Source organism: Homo sapiens, chromosome 3 (genome assembly GCF_000001405.40).
Source record: "Homo sapiens chromosome 3, GRCh38.p14 Primary Assembly".
NCBI lineage: Eukaryota > Metazoa > Chordata > Mammalia > Primates > Hominidae > Homo > Homo sapiens.
The window spans coordinates 63,101,593-63,126,796 of NC_000003.12; the positions used below are offsets into that span (position 1 = coordinate 63,101,593).

At 40.3% G+C, this 25,204-nt stretch overlaps 1 long non-coding RNA gene across 1 annotated transcript; it reads left to right on the plus strand.

The window, feature by feature from the left end:
- The first annotated feature begins 1,095 nt into the window (after positions 1–1,095).
- Positions 1,096–23,470, plus strand: LINC00698 (long intergenic non-protein coding RNA 698). Its single transcript, NR_027104.1, has 7 exons — positions 1,096–1,207; positions 4,711–4,830; positions 11,985–12,174; positions 17,107–17,350; positions 20,664–20,727; positions 21,731–21,856; positions 22,491–23,470. It is a non-coding gene; the product is annotated as a long intergenic non-protein coding RNA 698 (long non-coding RNA).
- The last annotated feature ends 1,734 nt before the right edge of the window (positions 23,471–25,204 follow it).

Here is a 25,204-nt window from a genome sequence, read left to right on the forward strand (position 1 = left end):
TGATGGGTCTCTACACTAGGGATAGTTATTTTGGATCTGCTGCTGCGTTGTTGCATAGGGAAAAGAGAAAAAAAAAACAAACAAACACTTTATACCCCAGAAAAGTGGAGGACAGAGGTTTGACTGATATCTCAGCCTTGAGGCACTGACTCTCTCTTGCTGACTCAAGAATTCATGCCCCTGAGGATTCTAGGTCTAACTTAAGCTCCCAGTATTCCTGCTCTATTAATTAAATCATCCACTTCACACAGGCATAAGGAGATTCTACTTACTTTTGAAAAGTCTAACCTTTCTAGCACTTTCTCACATTTCTTAATGTTGGCCTTTTATAGGATGAATAGTTCAGTCCCCAGAAAGTCTATTAAATCATTTACAAGGGCAAATGAATGACATTATGTGCAAGGTGAGTTTGCAGCAGAATTGATTATTTTCTCAGCTGATATCAGTGGAAATCTACTGAGTCTCTACTGTGTTGGTGAAAAACAGATCATGTTTGACAAATGTGGCTGGATATTTTTATACATTTCCTCTATTGACTGATAAGTGGGAGTGAGGGAGGTGGAATTTATCTGAATATTTGTAAAGTGCATGACACTGAGCACATAGGTGGAATGATTTATGAAACTAGTAATGCTTCCTTTCTTGGGAGAGTAGAAGTCATCTAGATCAGTGCTTAGAAATATAGGCTTTGGAGTCACCTGGGTTTAAGTCCTGATTGCACCATTTGTTTGGGCAAATTTCTATGTCCTAATTTTCTCAGGGTAATAGAGGTATCTATTATTTATCTCTTGTTGTTCTTTTGAATATGTACAATGGTATTTGTATAGAATTTTGCACAGTGCCTGGCACATAGTTGGTTCTAAGTGGTAATTATTATAATAGGAGGAAATTAGAAGGCTTCAAGAAAACTCAATAGCTAGTATCATAATAACTCTCGTGGACTTTCTTCAGTTGTACACTCATTTTATTCTAGCCTGGAGGTGTGATTGAATATTTTCTGCCAGTACAACTGACTAGCAGAGAATTAGTTGCTCAAAATATGTTCAACTTTATAATGCATAAGATTTAGCCTGAGTGTCTGGTTTGATATTCTATTTAGGTCCTGCACAGTTCAATATTAAATGGAGTTTCTACCCTAGCATGAAAGGAGGAAGAGAGAAAATCGGATCCAAGAGAAATTCGGCTCCAACATTCCCCAAATATTAGAGTGAGACCATCTGGAATTCAAAATGTTATTGTAGGTAACTGACAGCTGAATATCGGAAGGTATAGAAAATGGAAGGCTAAGGGGGACATTATTTCTATGCCTATACTCAGGTGAGAATGTTATCAGGGTCATGAGTTACAGATCCTGCATAATGATGCCAAACAGCACAAAAGAACAGTTATTAATATTGTATCAGATTATTTAGCTATCTCCTTACCCCCTTCCCATTACCAAGAAGAGAGGCAAGAGGCAGAGTGTGTGATGGTTAAGATAAGCCAAGAGGCTGGCATCAGGGAATCTGGATTTGAATCTTTGTATTGCCTCTTTGTACATCCTAGGCCTCAGTTTCCCCAACTGAAACACTGTAGTAATAATGCTTACATTACTGGGTTCTTGTGAGTTAAAAGAAGAAAAGGTATGTAAAATATGATGTTCAATATAGCTTAATTTTTCTTTTTAATTCAGAAGAAAAGCTCAGTCTTATATATTCCCCCTCTTAAGGCTGACGGTGCATAAAGAACTGGATGTCAGGTGAGGTGATTCTGGGCCATAAACCACATTTTCAACTATACACTCACAGTGGTTATTACCTGGGGTCTGCATAGAAGAATAGAAAAGGTGATGAGGGAGCATTTCTTACTTTATTTTCTGAATTCAGGCTAAGTATCTAGCTGTGTGTAAGAGCTTTGAAATCTGCAAGGTATCATTGGTGTCAGTGCCAAGAATAAAACTGTGCCAAACCACCAGTGACTGCCCTGGCTTAGCCAAGCATTGATCAGTCAAGGCTCAAGGCTTTGAGATATGTGCTAGGAGCTGTTCTTGGGAAAAAGAATCACTGACTATAGAGTCAGCAAGCCAGCAACAATGTGCTCATCCTTTCATCAGGGATGTCAGAGGGTGCTCATAGGTGCCAAGGGGCTTGCTTGCAGCAGATACTCACAGTCAAGACATCTCCCTTTATGAGCCCTTTTGTGGTCTCCCACCATTTCTGTCCAACTGTAGGGTAAAATTTCTTATTTCAATAGAGAAAGTTTTCAATTACTGGCTGCTATCCTAATTATATAAAAAGTTAGATGCCCAGAACAACAGAATGGAATCTTAACACACTGTCTCACTTATCTTTGTGGTTCCCTGGGCTTAGCACAAAGCTTAACATACTGATTCTTTCAAAAAAATGTGTTGATCATCTCCTTTATATTCTCACATCTATTTACGTACAGAGACATCCAACCTAATTTATCATGCTCATTATGCAGATAAGAATATTGATGTTCAAAGAGGGGAAGGAACTTGCTTGCTCAGGATTACATCCCTACTCAGTAATTGAGTAACGCTAGAGTTCTTTGATTGCAAGCAACAGCTATGCATTGCAGTAACTTAAGCAATAGGCAGATAAATCAACAGACAAGTAAGAAGATACTAGACAATTTGTGGAATTGAAGGTAGAGCTTAAGGTTTAGGTTTTGGAAAAGACATGGATAAGCATCCTGAGGGGTCTTGATGGCAGGAACTCACAAGTAGTCTCTCCATGATTCTGCAATCAGGTCTTTCATCCTCAGCCACCTCATGTATGTGACTCCCCAAGATTCAAAATTCTGGAGGGAGATTCTGATTGTCATCAAGTCAAATCTTCAGTCCTTTACCTAAGCTGTGGTCAGGGACTCTGGATTCCATGATTGACGTCCCTCCAGAACACACAGGGTCAGAGTCAGGGTCAAATTCTCAAAGGATGCCGAGAAACCAGAAAGACAAACAAAAACATGTATGAAAAGAGTATACACTGCCTGTTTGAAACAGAACAAACCCTTTCCCAAGGGCAAAAATTTAACTTTAAAACATATGCAATTTTTCTAAAAAGTTTAGAAATAGGTACCCGCTTGATATAAAATGATTCCTTTAATGATTCCTTTAATGAATGTAGCTTCAGACCGATGGGTAATGATCAAGGCCCTTGGGGCTACCTCCAGCTTTTCTTCCTGATGCATGGCCCTGTTTCTGTGTTGGAAGTAAGGAAACTTGCTGTTCCAGGGCTTAACCTATATCTAGAGAATGATTCAGATATAATGAAGAAAGTACCTGGTGTTATAATATCTTAGCCCTTGCTGAGCATTTCAATCCCTTAAAAAATCCTATTTGCAGGATTTTTAAAAACTGTATTACTCATATCTTGGAGAAAACGGGGGGTATTCTGAAGTAAAACTTTGACCCAGGGATAAAGCACATTAGCTTGAGGATGAAGAGGACTGGGTTTGGGTCTGCCATTTGCTAGTTTGGACAAGGCTGCTTTACCTTCCTTGACCTCAATTTGTTAATTTATATTATTAATGAAGATGTTGAACTACACGCTTTTTATTGAAATAGTATGACAAGTGAATGTGAAGATAAATAAATGCCTTAAAACTTAATAAAACTAAATTTCACTTTACGGATGAGCCTTACTTTCATCCTTTTAAACACAATTTTGAGACATACAAAAACAGACAAGATAGACACCAATCAAACTTCAAAAAAATTATTTAAATTGCTTATCTATCCTGGCTCCCAGACAATGCAAATCATCATTGATATACTATGGCCACTACCTCTGCCCTCTGATGAACTTGTTGTTTTGAATGCCTGAGCACTCTTAGAAGCCCTCTCTCCTCACTACTACTACCCTAAGTTATGAGTAACTTGGATAAACAGGTGGGCACAGAGGGTTAACGGCCCACCCACCCTCTTTTTAATGACTTTCTCAGAAACAGAAATGTGAGGCAATGTGGGTATTCAATCATAACTCTTGGATCTCATTTGAGGCTCCTGGGCAAGTTCCTCTCTGAATATAAACATTAAACAGCAAATAAGCATAAACAAAGAGAACATTATTAGAGAGATTCTACAAATATCATATAGATTCTTTCTTTTTATGTGTATAATTAAACTTCTTTGGTGGTGCCTATAGAGTTTAATACTCATATTTTATTTCCATCACTGCAAGGAGATAGGAAGTAACATTGGATGTCAGCAGGTCTTCTTGAATAACCCAGACACTCTTCTGAATTCTAACGATAGAGCCTTAAGCCTTTTTCTCAAGGAACCCACAGGTGGTGGGGTGTGGAGAGGGAGTGCTCTCCATTATCCCTTCAATGCATGATAAATAGTTGTAATCAATATCTACCTGTAAGTTTGGCTAAAAACCAGCTTCTGCAAAGCCCAGCCAGGAGCTCAAGTGTTCTGTTCCCCCAGCTGTCAATCAGAGTAGGGAGGGCATGAAGGAGACATAGGAGATAGATTCATGAAGAATACTTGTTACTTTTATATGTGATCTGCAACTTTAAGAATTTTTTTTCCTGATACTACCAAAATGAATTCATCAAAAGATAGCCTAATGATGAGGCTTTTCTGCCACTTTGCTGTTATTAGACTCCAGGGAGTAAATGTCTCTTATTATCATAAAAAGGGAAATTATGAGCTTTTTCTCCAAGAGCTATAAGACAATCTTATCTTCATTTTCATTCTTCCAGGTGGTTATGTTGAAGATGTAAATATTCTCCCTGCTGTGAGTATTACTGCAGCTGCCCAAAGATGCTTTATTTTAAAGATGTGGATACAGGAAGATAAAAGCATCAGAAACACTGCATGGGGTAAGACTGTCCTGGCTGCCAGGGTCTTGGTTTAGACAGTGGTAGCAATGGGACTTTTGCTGGGACAATGTTGAAGCTGTACTTTGTCTTAGTCAAGGTTTGTTTTTTGTTACAATTATCATGTGTCTCCTCAAATGAGCTGAAATATTAAGAGGCTATAAGGATACAGGAGCATTTTAGGGGGTGTTAATTGTAGTCTGACCTCTGAAGAGTCTGGGTTGAAAAATTGAGTATCTATTCTCTGTCTCTCCTCTCTCTCTCTCTGAGGCCATATGGTCTCTCATTTTCCTTCAGTTTTGCACCTCCGCTTCATTCTTCTCTTGATTTTCAACACTCCTGCTGAATCTCCATCTCTGCCCATATGGCAGAAGACAGCTGCCCCTGGCTTCCTTATTCACATGCCCTTGACATTCACATGTCAAGCGGGGAGTGAAGACTAAAACTCTCACATCTTTTTCTTCAAGCTCCTAGGAAAGAGTCTCTGATCAGCCCAGTTGGGCCCATTTTATCTACCTATGGTTTAATCAGGAATTTCTTGGAAATCCTAAAGGCCAAATGTGGACCCCCAAGAAAAAAGAACTCCTTAGGTAGCATTGTGGTGAGCACTTCATGGGCATTGTCTTTGTCTAAAGTTCATAGAAATCCTATGAGGTTGCTATTACAGTCTAATTTTCTATGTAACAAAGCAGAGTCTCAAACAGTTAAGTAATTTGCCCAGGATCATACACTGACTTTTATTTCTTTTAGAGACAGGGTCTCACTCTGTTGCTCAGGCTGGAGTGCAGTGGTACAATCATAGCTCACTGCAATCTCAAACTCCTATGCTCAAATGATCCTCCAGCCTCAACCTCCTGAGTAGCTAGGGCTACAGGCGTTTGTCACCACAACAAGCTAAATTTTTGTTTCAATATTTTATTTTTTGTAGAGATGTGGTCTTGCTCTGTTGCCCAGGCTGGTCTTGAACTCTTGGCCTCAAGTGATCCTCCTGCCTAGGCCTCCCAAAGCACTGGGATTACAGGCGTGAGCCACTGCTCTCAGCTCCCTCACCTTCCCCCTCAAGCTTTTTACCACTACCATCTCTTGCTCCTAAACAAGGTTTCTCAAATTTCAGTCAGCATCAGAATCACTTGCAGGGCTCATTGAAACCAAGATATTTGGGCCCTATATTCAGAAATATTGATTCTGTAGGCCCAGGAATAAGGCTGAGAATGTGCATTTCTAACAAGCTCTTTTGTGAAACTGATGCTGTTAGTCCAAGGTCCAAAGCTACTTGGTCCTTGCTACTTTGAGTAGTACTGCTTGCTCTAAGCAATCAAGAAGTTAATGTTCTCATGAATTAAGAAATCCCTTTGAATTGTAGCTATACTCCATAAATAATCAGAATAAAAGAAGTTCCTGTGAGCTCATTTATTTGCTTTGTCTAATCCCAATATTTTGCTCATTCTGTTTTTAACACATCTTCCTAAGAAAGAAAACCCTTTCTGACTTGGGACACTTGCATTTAGAGGGACTCGCAGTAGTCCTGGATACATATATAACTTTGGAGGCTATTATAGAAGCCACTTACATAATTTTCCCCTTAACCCTCCACTGAGATTTTTAAAAATCACTACAATTCTCATCAGAGAAGTAATTCTGAATAACGTTTCCTCACTAGGAGATGGCAGAGATCAGTTTCCTGAACTAGGGTATATATGAAATTCACTCTTCTAATCCCATATAGTTTCAAAAAGTTTTGTAGTCAGCCAGGAAAATGAAGAAACTACTACTACACATAGTGATGAATCTCACATGCCAAGTGTTGCATGAGAAAAACAAAGCATACTTCATGCCTCCATTTATATAAAGTTTTAAAAATCAAGATCTATGGAGATGGACGTTAAGACCAGACCGTGGTTGCTGTTGGGGCAGGATAGTGACTGCCGGGCACAGGGGTAGGGGTTGGGGAGGTGCACTCCCAGGAGTTGGTGATGTTCTGTTTCTGATCTGGAGGCTGGTTGAATAGGCATGTTCAGTTTGTGGAAATTCACAAGCTCGTATACTTAGGAGCTGAGCGCTTGTCTGTGTCTGTTGTTATAGCCAGTATAAAAGATTCAGAGGTGTTTAAAAAATGAGTCATTTGTAGAAAGGCAGTATATGAATTGTATTGACAAACCTATTGCAAATGTGCTATACATGTAGAAAGAACAAGCCTGAAAGGAAACATTCCAAACCATGACTGCTTCTGGGTGGTGGAAATGTGGCTGGATTTACTTTTTGGGCTTTTCTGTATTGTCTAAATTTTCTGCAATGTGCATACATTGCATTTATTAATATATCTTAACATGTTCAGTTTTTATTTAAAACATTGATTTTGTTAAAGTAGAAGTAAATAGGAGGACCCAATCCCACCAAATTCAGAAACAGAAACTTTCTGCAAATGTCTATTTAATACAAATGTCAGAACAAAAAAGTGGCCATGGGAATTGTGGGGCCTTGACAATCACTTTATCCCATGTAAATGGTATTTCCCAAGGGCCTCTTTCAGGTTCTATTGGTAATTATAAAACAGGATTCATGAGGAAAGGGTACTTAGGAAGCAAGGAAATGATCATTTTGTGAGGTTTGCAAAACAGAATACAAATGTCCAAGGGCCAAGTAATAATGATAAATTAGTTTTTTGACCAAAGCTCAAAGATGCTAAAATCTCCAGAAAATCCATCAAATGTTCCCCAATACTTTCAATATTTTTGACAGTGACAAAATTGAATAAAAATATAGATGTGTTTGTGGCCAGAATTTATAATGCATTCTTTCATTATTTCCCCTTGGAACTCTAGTAGGATAAAGCTTTTCAAAGAGGTTATACATTTTATGTTAAGCATCTCAATGTTTTTGATGAAACAATTTAACTTTCTTGAATATCAAAGAGGAAAAAAGAATGATGATGTGATCTTCAATTCTGGTCTCTAACTATTTCCTGAAATTTCACTGTCCCTGCCTATATCAAACACATAAGGAAAGGAGAGGAGCCATGGATAATAGAGCCCAGTGCTAATCTGGTTGGCTGGGTGTAGATTGTACTTGCTATATTTTGGAATCAGTCTCCTGGGGTTTGAATTCTGGCTCTCCCAGTCACTATGTATGGAACTTAGGGAAGACAATATAGCCTATGTGAATCTCAGCTTCCTGGGCTATAAAATGTGAGTAACTTTTATTCCTTCCTCATAGGGTTATTATAAGGATTATACAAAATTACATGTGTACCAGTTATCATTTTTTTGCTTTTCATCTCCAAATTTACCCTTCGATACCTGCTCTGTAATAATGGTGGACTTTAAGCATTTCTCCTTTACTATAAGCACGATGTTAAGCTTTCTTAGTAGCAGGCACTGGATGCACATCAGAGGAGAAAAGGGACTCTCTTGTCCAGAAGCTGCACTGACAGTCATTGGTGTGGAGGGGAAGACATGTGGTGGGGCTCTGCCCTTATCATGAAGCCAGAGCATGAGTCCCTCCATGACTCAGCAGCCCCAGTTAGTCTCACCTGTCCATGGTCTTTCCAATGGGGCACTGCACATTCAAGCTTTCTTCCCACACCTATCCAACACCCTCTGCAAGCCTGCATGTCCAGTTACCAGCCATATCACACCTATGCCCCAAGGTTTACTTCCGGCTTGTCCAGCAACTGCGGACTGGCTCTGACCTAGCAAAACAGCACATTTCTCTACCACCTAGTGAGTTGCAGCCTTCTCTAATCAGGTCTGAATCCCAGCCTTGGGAAGGTGGCCCCCCCTTCCAAGTTTGTCCTCTTTTGGATACTCTCCCTCAGCTCTGCTACCATTTAGAGTTCTGTCATAATTATCATTTTTTACTTGGATTCTGCAAACTTTTCTTGTAAACAATGTAGTGAGTTAAACGGGGGGAAGCTCAGAGTCAATGAAAATACAGTCTAGGGACAAATGCAGCCAGTGGCGTTTGTGCAGCTTATGTTCTAAGAATGTGTTTTTACATTTGTAAAGAATTGCTTAAAGAATGAGGAGGAGGAGGAAGAGAAGGAGGAGGGGGCCACAAATGAGAAGAAAAGGAGGAAGACTAGAAGGAAAACAGAGCTTATTTGGCCTGCAATGCCTAAAATAATACCATCTGATCCTTCATAGAAAAAAACATCCAAGACCTACTGAAGTACACCCTAGCAGTGTATATTTTAACAAACCCTCCCAGTGATTCTGATGAGAGCTGAAGTTGAGAACCACTGGATTAAGAGAGTAGCTGATTGACTGACCACAGTGTTGGTCCTTAACCTATTGTACAAATGACCAAAAGTAATTGAGGATTTGTGTGGGAGCTGGCAGAAAATAATTCTCTTGAGTAGTGTGGTGTGAAGATGGAAGTTCCACAGCTGTTTTGGTACCACAAGGGGAGTGTCTGGAGCTGGCAGGTGAGAGGCAAGATCCTGAGGACTAAGCCAACACCACAATAAGCAAGACAAAAAGGCAGGCAGAACTCAAGGCCTGGTGGATTCCTTGAAGCTGCTGGATCAAGCTCACCTGACTCAGGACTTGTCAGATACACATGTCCCAATAAATTCACTCTAGAGAGGTGTTTTTCCACTTCAGCATTGTTGATATTTGGGGTCAGATAATTTTTTGTTGTAGAGGGTTGTCCTGTGTCTTGTAGGCTTCAACCGCATCCTGGGCCTCTACTTTCTAGATATCAATCAGCCCAGCCCCTTAGTTGTGGCAACCAAAAGGGGTCTTCGATATTGCCAAATGTCCCCTGGGAGCAAAAATCACTCATAGTCAACAAACACGGCTCTAGAGTTTCAACTGGTTTGACCTGTGCTTTTGGACCCGGCATTATAAATATTTAATGGATCCTGTACGTGTTCAAGCATTGGTATATATTACTAAGATTAACAGATTCAAAAAGTTTCTCTTAGCAGAAAATGTCCATAATCAAGGAGATTATCCTTGAGATACTGCTCCTTAAGTGAATAGACTCTGGATTCTTGCTTTGCAGAATATCATAACATAAATGTCATCTCAAAACCCACATTCCGTATTATCCCCAGAACTTCTTGGCATGGTTTCTAATGGGCTTGTGCTCAAAGTTTCTATTCCCAATGCATGTTTAACTTTGATGTGTGTCTTTCTCTCTGTTCTGTGTAACCCACATGACACTCTGTTCTCATTTTCTGATTTCCATGAAATCACTTTTGAGGGTGGAGCAGGCATGGAGAGCAACCCTACAAAGGGCAGTCAAGAAAGGAAAGACATTTGATCTTAGCCAAAAGGCTGAGAATTGAGTAATAAAGGATAGAAACAAGGTATGTGTGCTTACCATGTATTCTATCATTGTTGGGTATGAATCTTTGTTATCTGATTTGGTCCAGGTGAGACTATCACATTGACTAATATCCCCTGGGCTTCACAAACTGGAAGGGAGAGTAGAATGTAGACTGGTCAGATTGGATAATTACCAGGTTTAGTTAGGTATGCTCTAGTTTTGCTCACTTAAAAAGATCCTCTCTTTCTTTCTTTCCTTCTTTCTTTCTTCTTTTTCTTTCTCTCTTTTTTTTTTTTTCAGAGACAGGGTCTCACTCTGCTACTCAGATTGGAGTGCAGCAGCATGAACACAACTCACTACAGCCTCGACCTCTCAGGCCCAAGCAATCCTCCCATCTCAGCCCCCCAGTAGCTGGGACTACAGGCACTTGGCCACTATGCTTGGCTAATTTTTTTTTCTTTTTTTGGTAGAGACAAGTTTTTGCCATATTGCCGAGTCTGGTCTCAAACTCCTGAATTCAGGCAATCCACCCACCTTGGCCTCCCAAAGTGTTAGGATTACAGGCGTGAGCCCCTGTGCCTGGACCATTTCATTTGCTTACATCCATAGACTTGTAAGCTCCTCTAGGTTTGTTGAGTACTTTTTTAATATTTCTGGTTAGGTCTCTTTTCCACATTCTTAACACTAAGTGCATTGTGTGTTTGCTTAAGTTAATTTGTGTAGAGCTTGACTTTAAGAATGTACTCCAATGGACAACATAGATACATGCAGATATGAAGCATATATTTACTAAGGGTACAGAGTAATAGGCACTAGAGGTGGGAAGTGATGCTGTAGGTTTACAAGCAGATAAATAATTGTCTCTCAGGGCTTAAAAAATCTTATAATGTGTGGTAATTTAGGCCTCAGGCATAAGTCTTTAGCTCAATTTCTTGACCCTCACCACCATCCTCCAGCAAATTAAAAACAAACAAAAGAACCTCTCCTATTGTATTATGAAGGCAGTTCATCTCTCTCTTGATCACCTCTAAACTCACTTTGAGGTCTCTTTGCACATTCAGATATTCATCACTGTCCTCAGCCAACAGAGAACCTTCTTCTCCAGGTCTTACCCTTTGTCTCATCTCTACCAGGGAGCAAAGTAATATAATTCCACAAAATACAGCATCCTGTGACCCCTTCAAGGAAGGACATGCTGCTCAGCCCTATGAGAACAGGGTCAGCAGACAGCATCTAGGTGTCAGCTCCTTCAAGGTTGCCATCAGCTGCAGAGCCTCCCTGCCCAAAGTCATGCCTTTCCTGAAGAAGCCTGTATCCATTGGATTGTATTGAGCTAAGTGGAGACATAAAAGGACAACTAGTTTGGTTTAATAAAACACTTTGAAAGTCTAAACTTGCTCTAAAGATTTCCCGTCAGGTTGGCCAAGGCTGTGTAGGGTCTGCACCTCAAATCTTACTCAGCATCTCCTTTTGGGGCACATAATCTATAATAGAGACTTATGTTCCCATAACATAAAAGAATCCATGCTTATTCTTTACATTTTTGAGTGCCTACTCTATGCCAGACAGACACTGTACTAGGTAGTGGGATTACAACAGTAAAGTGATACACCTGTGGTTTTGGTCCTGTGGAGCTTACAGTCTTTTGGAGGAAACTGACAAATCATACCCAAACAAATGAAAATGGATGGGTGAATCAACTGGAAGCCCTCTAGTTTATGTTGTGGACTAGTTGGTATTTTGTATACCTTCAGTAAAATGACCCAAGCAATTTTACTCTGCATCTTTTGACAGAATTTTCTTATAGAATATTGGACAGCCAGTTGTCAGTGGGATTTCTTTCAGTTCAGTGAATTTTGTCTTTTGCCTCCTCATTCTTTATTAAGAAAATCATTCAGACTGCAGCTTCCTGGTTTTAGACATCCCCACTGGCAATTGGGACATCTATTTTGGAGATGTAATTGAAAAGACTGAAGAATGTACTGAGGACCTTCTGGCTGATAGAAGCTGACAAAGAAGCCAAGATTGGTGAAGATTTCTGCAATACCTGAGTTTCTAATCACAACAACAAAAATGGTATTTATTTCCTATTGACCCAAACAGTGGCAACGTTTTAGTCAAGGTGATTTAGAGGAGGTTAGAAAGAGAGGTGGATGCTTGGGCCATATTAAAGGCAGAAAATGGGTTATTCTCCCATTATCTTTTACTCAGCAATTTTTTTATCTCCCCAAAACACTTTGAGTTGAACTTTTTGTCCCCTGGGAATTGGACAGGCTCTAGAAATAACATATATAGATTGGTTGTATATTTTCTCATTAACCATTATCTTTCTAAGCTCCCTAGTGGCAAATTAGCTAGGTCTAAGAAGTTATTATGGCATCCAAGCCATTGTGTTTGTTTTGGGATTATGATGTAACCCAGAAATATTAACTCCCTCATGTTGGTGCCTAGAGTCTTGGCAAAGTCCCCCTTAGTTAGCTAGCCAGTGTTTGAAATAAATCCATAAATAATAATAATAGTTAACAATTACTGAGTGTTCACTATGTGCTAAGCAGTGTGCCAAATGTTTGATACACATTTTCCCACTTAAGCTATGCAAGTATTCTATAAGGTAGATGTTATCATCATTTCCCTTTTACCAACATGGAAAATGAGGTTTGGGTGGGTTAAATAATTTGCCTTAGAGACATAGCTCTGTAACACCATTACCTTCATCATAAATTAAGATTCCATTCATTTGGAAGCCACTAAAAGTTTATAATATAACTGCTGCATCTTCAGCAACTCACAACATCTTGTTTATACATTACTTCTGACACTGTTCTAATAAGCCTCTGTGCCGAGAATTAAAAATGTTCCAGTCCATTTTAATTCAATCCACTAGAAGATTCACATGGCCCACGAAATGTTTTAGTTTCTGGGGAGGGAAAAGAAGACAAAAATAAAAAGAAGCACTTTTTGCCCTCAATGAAGTCACAGTCTATTAGGCGATGCTAGTCCTTATTTTCTTTGCATGTATGACTCTATTCTTCATTTCCTCACTACAGTTTATGGAAGTTGGACCAGGAAAGTAATGGAAAGCAAGTCTTACCCAAAGAATTATTGACATAACTATTTAGAACTCAGTTTCTTTGCTATTTGGCAAAATACCAAGCAAGTTTTCCTGACCAGCATAGGGATAGAACCTATGGCCTCTATCTCATTAGTACTGTTTGTTAGTATTAAGTAGGCGAAGCCAGTCTGGTACCTAATTAAAGTATAATGATCTCCATTTATCTGAGGTATGGCTCCAGTCACCAGCTGATAACCCTGTCTTTTGGGGGATACTGTTGTCTTCATATCTACAGAAATAGGCCCTAGAAGTCATGTTTGAACTGCATAGCCCTATGGGCCATGGCTGGTTAGTCAATAGGTTAAGACTACCCAAGCCAAGCCAACCAGATTGTTTCCCCTGGGATTCTCAGATGTTTTACCTCTGTTCTTGCAAGTGGTTAAACCAGTAATACCTAAACTTGAGGGCAATGGGATAGCCTTTAATGTGTATGTGTCAAGGAGCAAAGAAAGCCTGTCTGTATCTGGAAAGACAAATACTGATGTGCAAAGGGAAACAGCCATAAGAAATGAAGAGAAAGTCATGAAAATGTTTGGATTTCTGGCTCTAGTCTGTTTTCATAAATTCTGGTTACAAGTCATTCCCCAAGTCATTCCTTTATTCTTATAAAAAATTCCCATTCTTGCCATAAGCTAGCCTGAGTTGATTTTTGTTACTTGTCATCACTGACACTTAAGTGATACATAAACTGAACAATCTTTACCAGAGTTGTCATGTACAGTTGTACACTGCATAACACTGGGGAGTGCCAGTCATATCACTGATTGCATTATATAACCACATGCAGTCCTGACTTGTATGGTCATTGAGTTTTTGAGCAATATATTTCCTGAGTGCTTAATTCATCAAATATTGATTGAGTACCTATTCTACTTAATAAATTCTATTCTAGAGATTGTACTAGTTATAGGATGCAAAGATTAAAAATAAAAACAGGCCCTACTCTCCACATGGTCACAGTCTAGGAAAGCAGACCAACAAAAAAACAATCACAACATAATGTGATATAGACGACAAAGAAGCATTTCAGAGGGGAACATAAATACAATAACTTCCTCAGGAAGTATCAGGGGAGGCTTCACAGAGAAGCAATGCCTAAGCAAATTCCAGGTAGTAGGAACAGCATGTATAAATGTATGAGTAAATGTGGGAGGCTGAGGCAGGTGGAGCACCCGAGGTCAGAAGTTCAAGACGAGTCTGGCCAACATAGAGAATGAAACCCCATCTCTACTAAAAATACAAAGAAATTAGCCAGGTGTAGTGGTGCATGCCTGTAGTCCCAGCTACTTGGGAGGCTGAGGCAGGATAATCACTTGAACCTGGGAGGCAGAGGTTGCAATGAGCTGAGATCACGCCATTGCACTCCAACCTTGGTGACAGAGTGAGACTCCATCTCAAAAAAAAAAAAAATAGTATAAGTGGAATAGCATAGTATGTTTCCAGAAATGTGGATGGTTTGCAGTTGCAGAAGGTGGAAAGAGGTAATAAATAAAAGAGCAGGGGCAAAATCACAAGAAGCTTTGCATACCAGGCTAAAGAGCTTGTACATTATGCAGTAAACTAAAGCTTTTCACATTGTGATAACTGAGTAATAAAAACAAAATCCTAAGCTCCACATCTGACTGAACAAGCCCCCTTTTGGTCAAGGGGACCTTAAAAATTGAGTTCCCAGTAATGACTGGATAGGAGGTAGGGCACTCCTTAACATGCCCCTTGTATTAGTCTGTTTTCACACTGCTGATAAAGACATACCCAAAACTGGGAAGAAAAAGAGGTTTAATGGACTTACTTACAGCTCCACATGGCTGGGAAGGCCTCACAATCATGGTGGAAGGCAAGGAGGAGAAAGTCATGCGTTACAAGGAAGGTGGCAGGCAAAGAGAGAAGAGGACTTGTGCAGGGAAACTCCTATTTTTAAAACCATCAGATTGCTTGAGGCTTATTCACTACTGTGAGAACAGCAGGGGAAAGACCTGCCCCCATGATTCAATCCCTCCCACAATACATGGGAATTATGGGAGTTACAAGATAAAATTTGGGTGGGGATACAGAACCAAACCACATCACTCCTCCTTATTAACCTTTAACCAGAATTCTTTCCTAAGGGGTACACAGAAACCAGCTCTAGAAAACAAGAAACAGATGACTTATTCCTTTGTCACCTTTAGCCAATCATCTGAGGCTGTGACCAGATTCTCCCTCCCTCTTTACAGTTTCCAGGTGACAGCTCATCACTTCACAATGCATCCCTTCCTAAAGACTGACCTCCATCTCTGGGCCAGTTTTGGCCAACTCTTGAAGGATGTGCAGTGACGGTTTTCATGTCCTCTGCTTCACCTTTTGATGTCAGAGGGTCAAGAACTCCACCCTCGGATCATGCTAATGTTGTCGTTTTTGAACACACCACCCATGAAGAGGCATGAAGCTCAATTGCACATATGCATGCTTCTCCTTTCATAAATATTCATGACTCCTATAGCTTATTAAATATGTATACCTGGCCACCCCATTAGGCATAAATTCCTATTTCATTTTTCCCTTCCTAGAAATGCTTGCTCTTGGCTTTTGCTCAAGAGTTCAAGAGTACACTTCCCAGCCTGTGGGATGACCAGCCTGCATGCTGCAACCCTTTAGGATAAATAAAGCTCTCCTTTCCAAATTTATGAATCTGGCAATTCTTCAGTCAACATAATATATGAAGCATCTTGGGAACTTGCTAACATACTGATTCTGATTCAGTATGTCCAGGATAGAACTAGCATTTTGCATTTCTAACAAGCTCTGTAATAGTGGCAATGCTACTGGTACATAGATCACCACACTTTGAGTAACAAGCCTTTAAGCAATGGGGCATTGTAGGCTATTAAGCAGGGAATAAAATGGCACTGCAGAATGATCTCCCAATATAGTGGGATGGTCATATTAGGCATAGGATGTGAGGAAGCATTAAGGCAGAAGACCAGTTAGGAAGCTATTTCAAGATCCACATGAGAACTGAGGAAGGCAGGAATTAGACTCACTATATGTGAACTTGAGTGTGTAGTGCTAGGGAACAGTAAGGAGTATTCTTCCTTTCCTGCTTCTGTCTGGATTTGTGCTGCAGAATAATGGAGAACTTTAAAATTGTCTTCTTTAATAGCGCAATATGTTTGCTGAGTGTCTACTTTTATATCTACTGCATTCTTAAAGCCCATTTAAAATTATTTTCATTTTGACCTGCAAAATCTACTCTTGATCAAATAATTTGCAATCAAGTGGTAGTTTCAAGTGGGCTGAATTCAGTGCTAAGACAGGTTTATGATGAAAGAAAGTATTCACAGGGATATGGAGCATTGTCATTTTAACTGCGGACAAATTGTAGCTCCAAACTGTGCTCAGAGAAAAACTGTGCTCTGTATAGCACACCAGAGATGAGGAGGCACCTTGGTTTGCATAAGAATTGTCTGGAATAATTATTAAAAATGCAGACATTTTACCTATCCCTCACCTTACCTCATCCTTACTGGGCTTACTTGGGGCTAAGACAATTGCATTTTTAACCAGCACCTCCAAGAGATTGTGACACATTTGAAATATCCATGAGAATTGAGAAATACCAGTCTAGCTCATTTTGGCAAAAATGAATTGCCTTCTTATAATGTAAGTAATTGCCTGTTACTAATCAATAGCACCAAACACACAGACAAGGTAAGATGGTCCCTGCCTTCTAAGAGGTTATAGTCTCAATGATTTAAGTGATCAGGGTGTTTTATAGATCTCTACTAAAGATCCTTACTTCCACACCATACTTGTAAAGACTTCTGTATCTGGCAAGGTCCACACCGGGTAACCGTTGTTAATAACCGGAAAGCAATCTCAAAGAGTTTCAAACAGGTCATGAAAACTCTATTTTCCAGACCTGGATAGAAAACCTTGGAGATAGTAATTGATGGGCATCACGTAGCTGGTTGCTGGAGAAACACTGAAGCAGAACTTGTAATATCTTCAAAACAAGTGAAGGCCAGGAATCAGAAATGCTTCTGAAGGTCAGCTGCCTCTCCAGCCATCTATGAAGAGCTATGGTTCTGAATCCTGGCTAATATCAGAATCATCCTGGGAGCTTTTGAAAATCCTGATGCTCAAGTCACACTCCATACTCAGGTAGAAGCAATCATCAGTACTTTGTAAATCTCCCCGTGTGCATCCAAGGGTGGGAATCCGTGGATGTAGAGCTTCTGCTACATGTGGATTTACTGTGATGCTAATGAAGCTTCAGCCTCAGGGATCTTCATATTGCATGGGTTATGTACAAGGACCAATATTTAAATTTGTAGCCGGAATTGTGATTTATTTTTCTCAAGCCAGGCCCCTTGTGTCAGTTTGGGTTTTCTGAGAAGTAGACACCAAGATGAAATTAGGTATATAACATATTCATTGAAGGGAGGATGAAGGAGAGAGACAGCAGGAGTAGGTGGGGGAGAGCATTTAGATTGTGGTACCAGTCTGGCTTCTGTGAAAGGAGAGAAAGAAGGAATGGGAGTCAGTGTTGGGTAGGAAGAGCCTCAGACTCCAGAGAAGTTTTTAGAAGGTCTTGGCCTGGCCAAAGGGGAGTCCACGAACAACAGTAGTCACCACAGGAGTGCTGTATCAAGGACAAATGATAAGCAATATGTTATGTCTCACACCTGTAATCCCAGCATTTTGGGAGGCCAAGGCAGGAGGATTGCTTGAGCTCAGGAGTTCAAGACCAGCCTGGACAATATGGTAAAACTTTGTTTCTACAAAAAATTCTAAAAAATTAGCCAGGCATGATGGGCATGCACCTGTGGTCCCAGCTACTCTGGAGGCTGAGGTGGGAGGAGAGCTTGAGCCCAGGGAGGTCGAGGCCACAGTGAGCTAAGATCATGCTACTGAACTCCAGTCGGGTTGACAGAGTGATACCCTTTCTCAAAAAAAATAAAAAATAAAAAAAAAAAAGAAGAAGAAAAGAAAGAAAAGCAAATGATTGAGCTTTGAAACCTTTCCTCTGCTCAGTCAGTGGCTGAAATAACCAGAGGAAGCATCACTGCTCAGTGGATGTCACTGGGGATGCGGGTGGGTAGGGTGCGAAGGTGCTGCAGCTGGAGGCTATTAATACACCCTGGATCCCATGCCAGTTTCTCTCAAGAAGAGATCTGAGTGACACACCTCCATGGTCACCACACCCCCCATTTATATATTAAGTTCATACCTCAAACCTGGATCCATCCCTCCTCTGAATTCATAACTGAGTTGGGGAGAGAGGGAATTAATCTGACAGCCACCAGGGTTAACTTTGAGAATTTTCAGTAACAATTCATGGGACACATGACACATGCACAGCGTTCTCTTTCCTTTTAAAATTCACTGAGAAAGCTTGGCTGTGATGCAAAAGTGTTTTCTCTCAAGTGAATAAACACTGAGTGAATAAACACCACCAAGGCTGTCATCAATCTGCCAGCCTGTTGTCTTTAGGGACCTACCATTTAGGAAAACAGGTGAAATTTGGGCTTCTTCATTTTGTTAGTTATACAACGATTTTCCTTAAGTGCTTTTCTATGTGCCAAGCACTATGCAATGCCCAGTTTTCAGGATACAAGACCTGGTTCTTGTTCTCATGGAGCCTGAATTTTAATGAGGTGTGATAGATCAAAAGCCAGTGAATGTATAAATAAATACAATCATTACAACTTGTTACAAATATTTAAGAAGGACACAAAGTACTATGATAGAGAGTAACGGGATTGGGAACTATTTTAGGTACGGTTGTCAGGGAAAGCCTCATTAAAGTGGGGGGTACTTAAATAGCTGAATTTTGGGGATTAAGGGAGGATAGGGAGGAGAAAAAGGAGTATCCCAGGTGGAGGGAAGTCCTCAGTTTTTTCTAACTTTTTTCTAGGCATCTTCAGTTTTTTCTAAGTACCTGGTGTGCTGGAGCACACGGAGTGAGAGGAATCCAAGCATAGAATAATTTTGGAGAGGTGGAAAGGTCATGGAGATCCTGTGGGCCATGGCAAGGAGCCTGAATTCTATTTTAAACGAAAGGAAAAGGCATGGCAGGATCATAAGCAATATGGTGACGCTGGTGAGGGTGGAGGTGACATAAGCTAACCTATGCTTTAATGGTATCACTTTGGCTACTGTGTATGGAATGGATTGAGGGAAAAGAAGAGGAGAAGTGGAGAGACCAGTTAGCAGGCTCAATCCTGAGATCTGGTGTTGGGTAGATGGCCCAGACAGAAGGAGAGGACATGAAATATTTCTAATAACATTTTTCAGTAGAGTTCAGTGGCTTCAAGAGCAACAGCTAGGGTTGCTCTAGGGTTACAATCTAATAAGGCATCTTTTTCAGAGTGTATTTGAGGGCAGCTTTAATAAACAATACTTATGAGTTCATATTACAGATTTGAAATGCCTCCCATTGTTTTATTTTTGTTAATTTTTAAAATTTCAATTATTTAAATATCACTTAACATTTCAATATTTGTAACTGCTGGTTAAATTTTCTTAACTCTATGCCTCAAACACACTACAACCACTGTGATTTACTGAGCTGATACTATATGCCAGGTACTATGTTATATGTTTGATAGGCATTCAGCTATTTAAATACCCCCCGCTTTAATGAGGCTTTCCCTGACAACCCCACCTAAAATAGTTCCCAATCCCATTACTCTCTCTCACAGTACTTTGTGTCCTTCTTAAATATTTGTAACAAGTTGTAATGATGGTATTTACAAATACTACACTTCTACACATACCAATAGAGTAACTAATAGAGAGAGAGAGAGATCCTTTTTGGGTAAGAAAAATTAGCCTTAAACAATTCAGAACATGCTCAAGATCCTTCCACTTATATGATACAAATCTAGGATTCAAACCCATGTTTACTTGATTTCAAAGCTCGTTTGTTTTGAAACGCTAAGATATGTTGCCCAAAGATCATTTTTCACCTTTGTTTTTTCTTGAACTATAGAAAAGAGAGTTTTCATGTCAACATGTACAAAATATAACTTTTAAAAGCATTCCTCTGCCCAAATCTGATTCTGTATGCATTGGGAAAAGCCATACTTCCGGTATAAATGCCTGCCTCCATAAAACAGAATTCACCATCCACAGGTATTTGTTGCTGATCTTACCACAGATGGGCTGCCTCCTGAAAATGAACCATAGACTTCTTTTTTATGACAAGAAAATGTATCTCAATATCCCTTGAGATCTCTCTTAATATCCCATTGGTAAAATGTGACCTGCTTGGAGTTTACAATAAACTCATCCCAGAGATGTATTCCATGGTTCATTTAAAACACACTCCCTCTTATTCCCTAAGTAAAGTCATCTCTCTAAACACACCTTATATTTGTATAGTGCTTCACAGCTTACAAAGCACTTTTGCTACATGTAATTTGATTCTGAGGGTCAAGTAAGGCAGGTGCTATCATCCTCTTTTTAACAGACAAGAAGCTGAGTCTCAGAGAGAGAAAATGACTCATCCAAGCAAGGTTTGAGACCTAAGAAAGGTAGGTCATGGCATTAGGATTTCAACACTTTTACAAATACTAATAGTAAAGAAGATGAAAATGGCTCTAAGCCACTTTTTTAAAGAGTAAGTTAGCCTTACATATAGATTCACCCCCATATCAGGATGAACTTTGGCCCTCCTGGGGAATGGGCTGGCTGGTAACATGTCCACAGGTATTTGCAAGGATGGTACAAATAACATAAATGTGGGTTCTTCTATATTTAGCTGCTTCTGGCAATATTACTGTATTGATTTCCTGTCTTTGTTTTCATTCACTGCTGCTTTCATTCACAGCTGGCCTCTATCAGGGGTTCTCTTCCTTCTATGCATTAATTTCTATTCCATTCAGAATCAACCTGAATCAAATATAACTATAGGAGGTGCCTTTTGGACAATACAGAGGCCATGCTCAAGGAACACAAAAGGAACTGAAGTTGTGTGGATTACAAGAGAGTTCGATGTGTTCTAAATTCATTATGTAGGTAATGAATGGGATCTCGTGAAAAGTGGAACTAAGCCTCTTTGGTAAAGCCTGAAGAGTGGAGTCAAAAGCAATGAGTAGAAATCATTTTACCCATGCCATCCACCTACCTATCTACCCATACAGACACCCAACAAATTGTAAAAGAAAAGTAGGCAATCAGGATAATCAGTAGTTTAATATGATTTGGGGGTTCATTAAAGGCTTTCCTTTAGAAATCACATTTAAACTGAGACCTGAAGGATGGCTTCTGTCGTTAGCCAGATGAAAAGAGAAGATAAGCATTCCAAGCAGAGGGAACAGGAAAGGTGGAAACAAACTGGGCATATTCCAGGACGTGGAAGGAAGCAGTAGGTAGCTTAAGTAGCATGAAGAACACTTACAGAAGAGTTTAGAATGAAGCAGGAGCCAGACCATGGAGGTAGGACATGCTAGAGCAAATCAATTTTAGCTGAGTGTGAATAATACAGTTCTATCATACGGATCTGCCCTAAAATGGATTTGGTTTCTGATGACCAAGGTTGTGTAAGCAGAAGCTGGAAGACCCTTGAAAAGAGCATTCATTCAAGAAATGAAGCATGAGATAGGATGGAAGGAGGGAAGAAAGACAAGCATATGGCATATCAGGTCTCTTCCAGTGCTAAAGGTCTGTAATTCCATTATTCCAACAAATATCCAATGAAGCTATTTTAATTTCTAGGAAATTTTAAAGTTGCCTGTCTTCCTACACTGAATTTTACATCCATTAAATCTTCAGGATTTAAATGTTATAAACAATAAAAAATAAATACAATGGTGAGAGGACAGGGGATGTATGATGGGAGGTAGGGAGGGGTAGATGGTGTGGTATGGTGGTTAAGGTTACAGACTTTAGGTGAATGCTCTTAACTTGGGGTCCAAATTCCAATTGCTAGACATATGACCAATAATATTGTAGTCTGGCAACTGAGAATAGGGGCTCTTGTTTCTTTACTGTTGTACCCCCAGGCCAAGAACAGCACCTGGCACTACAACAAATATTTGGTGCATGAATGAATGAATGTTACTGCTATTGGTGTACCCAAATCTGCCTGTTGGCTGTTGTGAAATGACTATAGCTCCAATTCTATCCATACATTCCTAGCAATGCCTGAGAAAGGCAGAGAAAATAGAGAAATAATGAGCTTATAAGCATCATCAGCCCATAAATTCTTCATTCCCAGGGAAAGTAAATCAAGCTGTTCTTTCTCCCTTTGTGTGTCCCTGAGGCTCAGCTCTGATCATTTCTCTTTTTCTTCTAGGCTGCCTATGATACTCATCTGACCTGATTTCTCCTGCACAGTGTTGCAACTGACGAGTAGCAGACTTGCCCTTGCCTGCATTTGGGGGGATGGCTGAGACTTTCCTTACAGAAAGCCCTACTTTCAGCATGAACACTAACCCAGTTTATTGGCTCAGGGTGTAGAGAGTTGCCTTGTCACTGGCGAAGTCAGATGCAGCCAGTACCAGAGCTCTGCACTAGCTGTGAACACTAAGGAAGAATAGCTGAGTGAGGAAGCAGAGTGCCAGGCAGCACATCCTTCTTCAGGTGTTTCCTGCCCTGGGCCAGATCCCAGGCACTGCAGCAATATCTCTGCATGATCTAGGGCTCCTGGAAATAGCCCATTAAGGGCAAAACTCGCTGCCCAGAAAACATTAGAACATTAAAAGAGCAGGGTCTCATCTGATTGTCTTGGTTTCCTGAGGCTCATTCAGTCTGTGTCCACTGGTTTCAGTCTGAGTTCTCTGCACTTTGAGGATGCAGACAGTGAAGTTCTCCCATGGTTATAGGGGGAGAGATCATAGGAATGCTATGGAAAGAGGCCTGAAGTCAGAGCCAGCTAGTGGTTATTATTTATTAATTGCCTGTGAGGTGCCAGGCGCACATATTAGACCATATGTGATTGCAGTGAGCCACCCGGATCCCCTTCAAGCTGCTGCTGCAGCTGATGGAAGTCCTATTGGCAGACAGCCTTCTCTCATCAGCCCCTTCAGGACTTGCCTCAGTTGCAGAGAGCTGCCTTCCCCAAGATCACACCCTTCCCTGGGGACTCACAACCAATGGCTGATCCAGAAGAATCCATAAAGCCCGTATCATTTCAGCCCAATTTAGGACAGCTTTGTTGAGCCATTAGACCTACATGCAGCCCAACCTCTCCTTCTACCCACTTCTTCTTTCTTCCCTTTCCTTCCACGGTGTCTGTTCCAAGCACTTGCCTTAATAAACATGTAACAGGTTAAACTCTGTCTCGATGTCTGCTTCAAGGAGAACCCAACCTGTGACAGTGATAACAGATAAAAACAAAGGACATCACTTTTCCCTGCCTTACTTTCCATTTACCACTAAAAAGGGTCTTGGACTTGCCCACTCAGTTTCTTCTCTTTCTTCACTCTTTGGAGATGGTCCCTCCACTACCACAGACACAAAAAAGAAGAGTTGGGAAGAGAGAGGGGTGAAAACATTTGGGGCACTGCAGGCCTAGTGCTAGGTGACTGAAGACTACCTGGAGGGTGCAGGAAGTGACTGTTTCTCCATCATGTATTGTATTGCTATAGTGACTTAAAAAACAAGTAGGTGATTTGTGTTTTTTTGGTTTTTTTTTGTTTTTTTGGTTTTTTTTTTGAGACAGAGTCTCGCTCTGTCACCCAGGCTGGAGTGCAGTGGCGCTATCTTGGCTCACTGCAAGCTCCACCTCCTGGGTTCACACCATTCTCCTGCCTCAGCCTCCCGAGTAGCTGGGACTACAGGCGCCCACCACCGCGCCCGGCTAATTTTTTGTATTTTTAGTAGAGACGGGGTTTCACCGTGTTAGCCAGGATGGTCTCGATCTCCTGACCTCGTGATCCGCCCGCCTCGGCCTCCCATGATTTGTTTTAAAATTACTTTTCAATTGCTGGACTGTGTTCTTGGACCATGACATTATTCTTAACTCAGGCTATATGGGCCATGGTTGCAACAGGATTACAATTATAACAACCTTCACATCACGTGTTATTATTCTCATTTTATAGGTAAAGAAACTGAGGCACAGAGAGGCTGCATTTTAGGATCCACTTTGCTTCTGTGTGACCTTGAAATATTTATTTAATTTTTTGGACCTTGTGACCAAAAGATGCCGAACAAGCAAGGAAATGAACTAAATGTTGAAGTGCCTTCCAATTTTAAGATTCCAAATTTTTTATAGAATTAATAATTTTAAAGTATTTTTCCACATTAATTTTGACATCATGATATGACATTAATAAGGTAATTGCAAAATTAGTTTTATTACCTTAAGGTATACCTAGATTGCATAGTTGGATTATCTTTAGTCCCCTGTGAAATATGTAATGATGTACTGTTTCCCCAATTTACATTTGGATAAGCCAAGGCTCAGAGAAATCAAGTTATTAGTGTGAAAATATTGCCACTTAATGTAAGATCCAGGTCACAGACTCAGATTTCCTCCCATCTCTTCTAGTGCTTTTCCTATACTACTACTCGATTCCTTTTGGCCTGAGGTTCTTGTATTGTTATCTATCAATCACTACATAATAAATTACCTTACAACCGAGTTGCTTACAATAACCAACATTTACAATTTCACACACCTTCTAGGGGGTCGAAGAGAGGCTTAACCTGAGTGGTTCCGACTCCAGGTCTCTCAAGGGGTTATAAGCAGATGTTGTCTGGGGCTGCAGCTGTGAAGGTTTGCCTAGAACTAAAGGATCCTCTTTCAAGATGGCATACTCTCTTGGTTGTTGACCGAAGGCCTTTATTTCTCACTGTCCAGAGGAATCTCCATAGGACTGCTCAAGTGTGCTCTCAACATGGCAATTGATCTCCCCAAAAATGAGCAATTCAAGAGGAAGAACGAGAAGAAAGCTGTAGTGCCCTTTATGACCTGGCTCAGAATCACACATCAGCACTTTCTCCATATTCTATTCATTAGCAATGATTTGCTAAGTCCAACACATATTCAAGAGGAGTAGAATA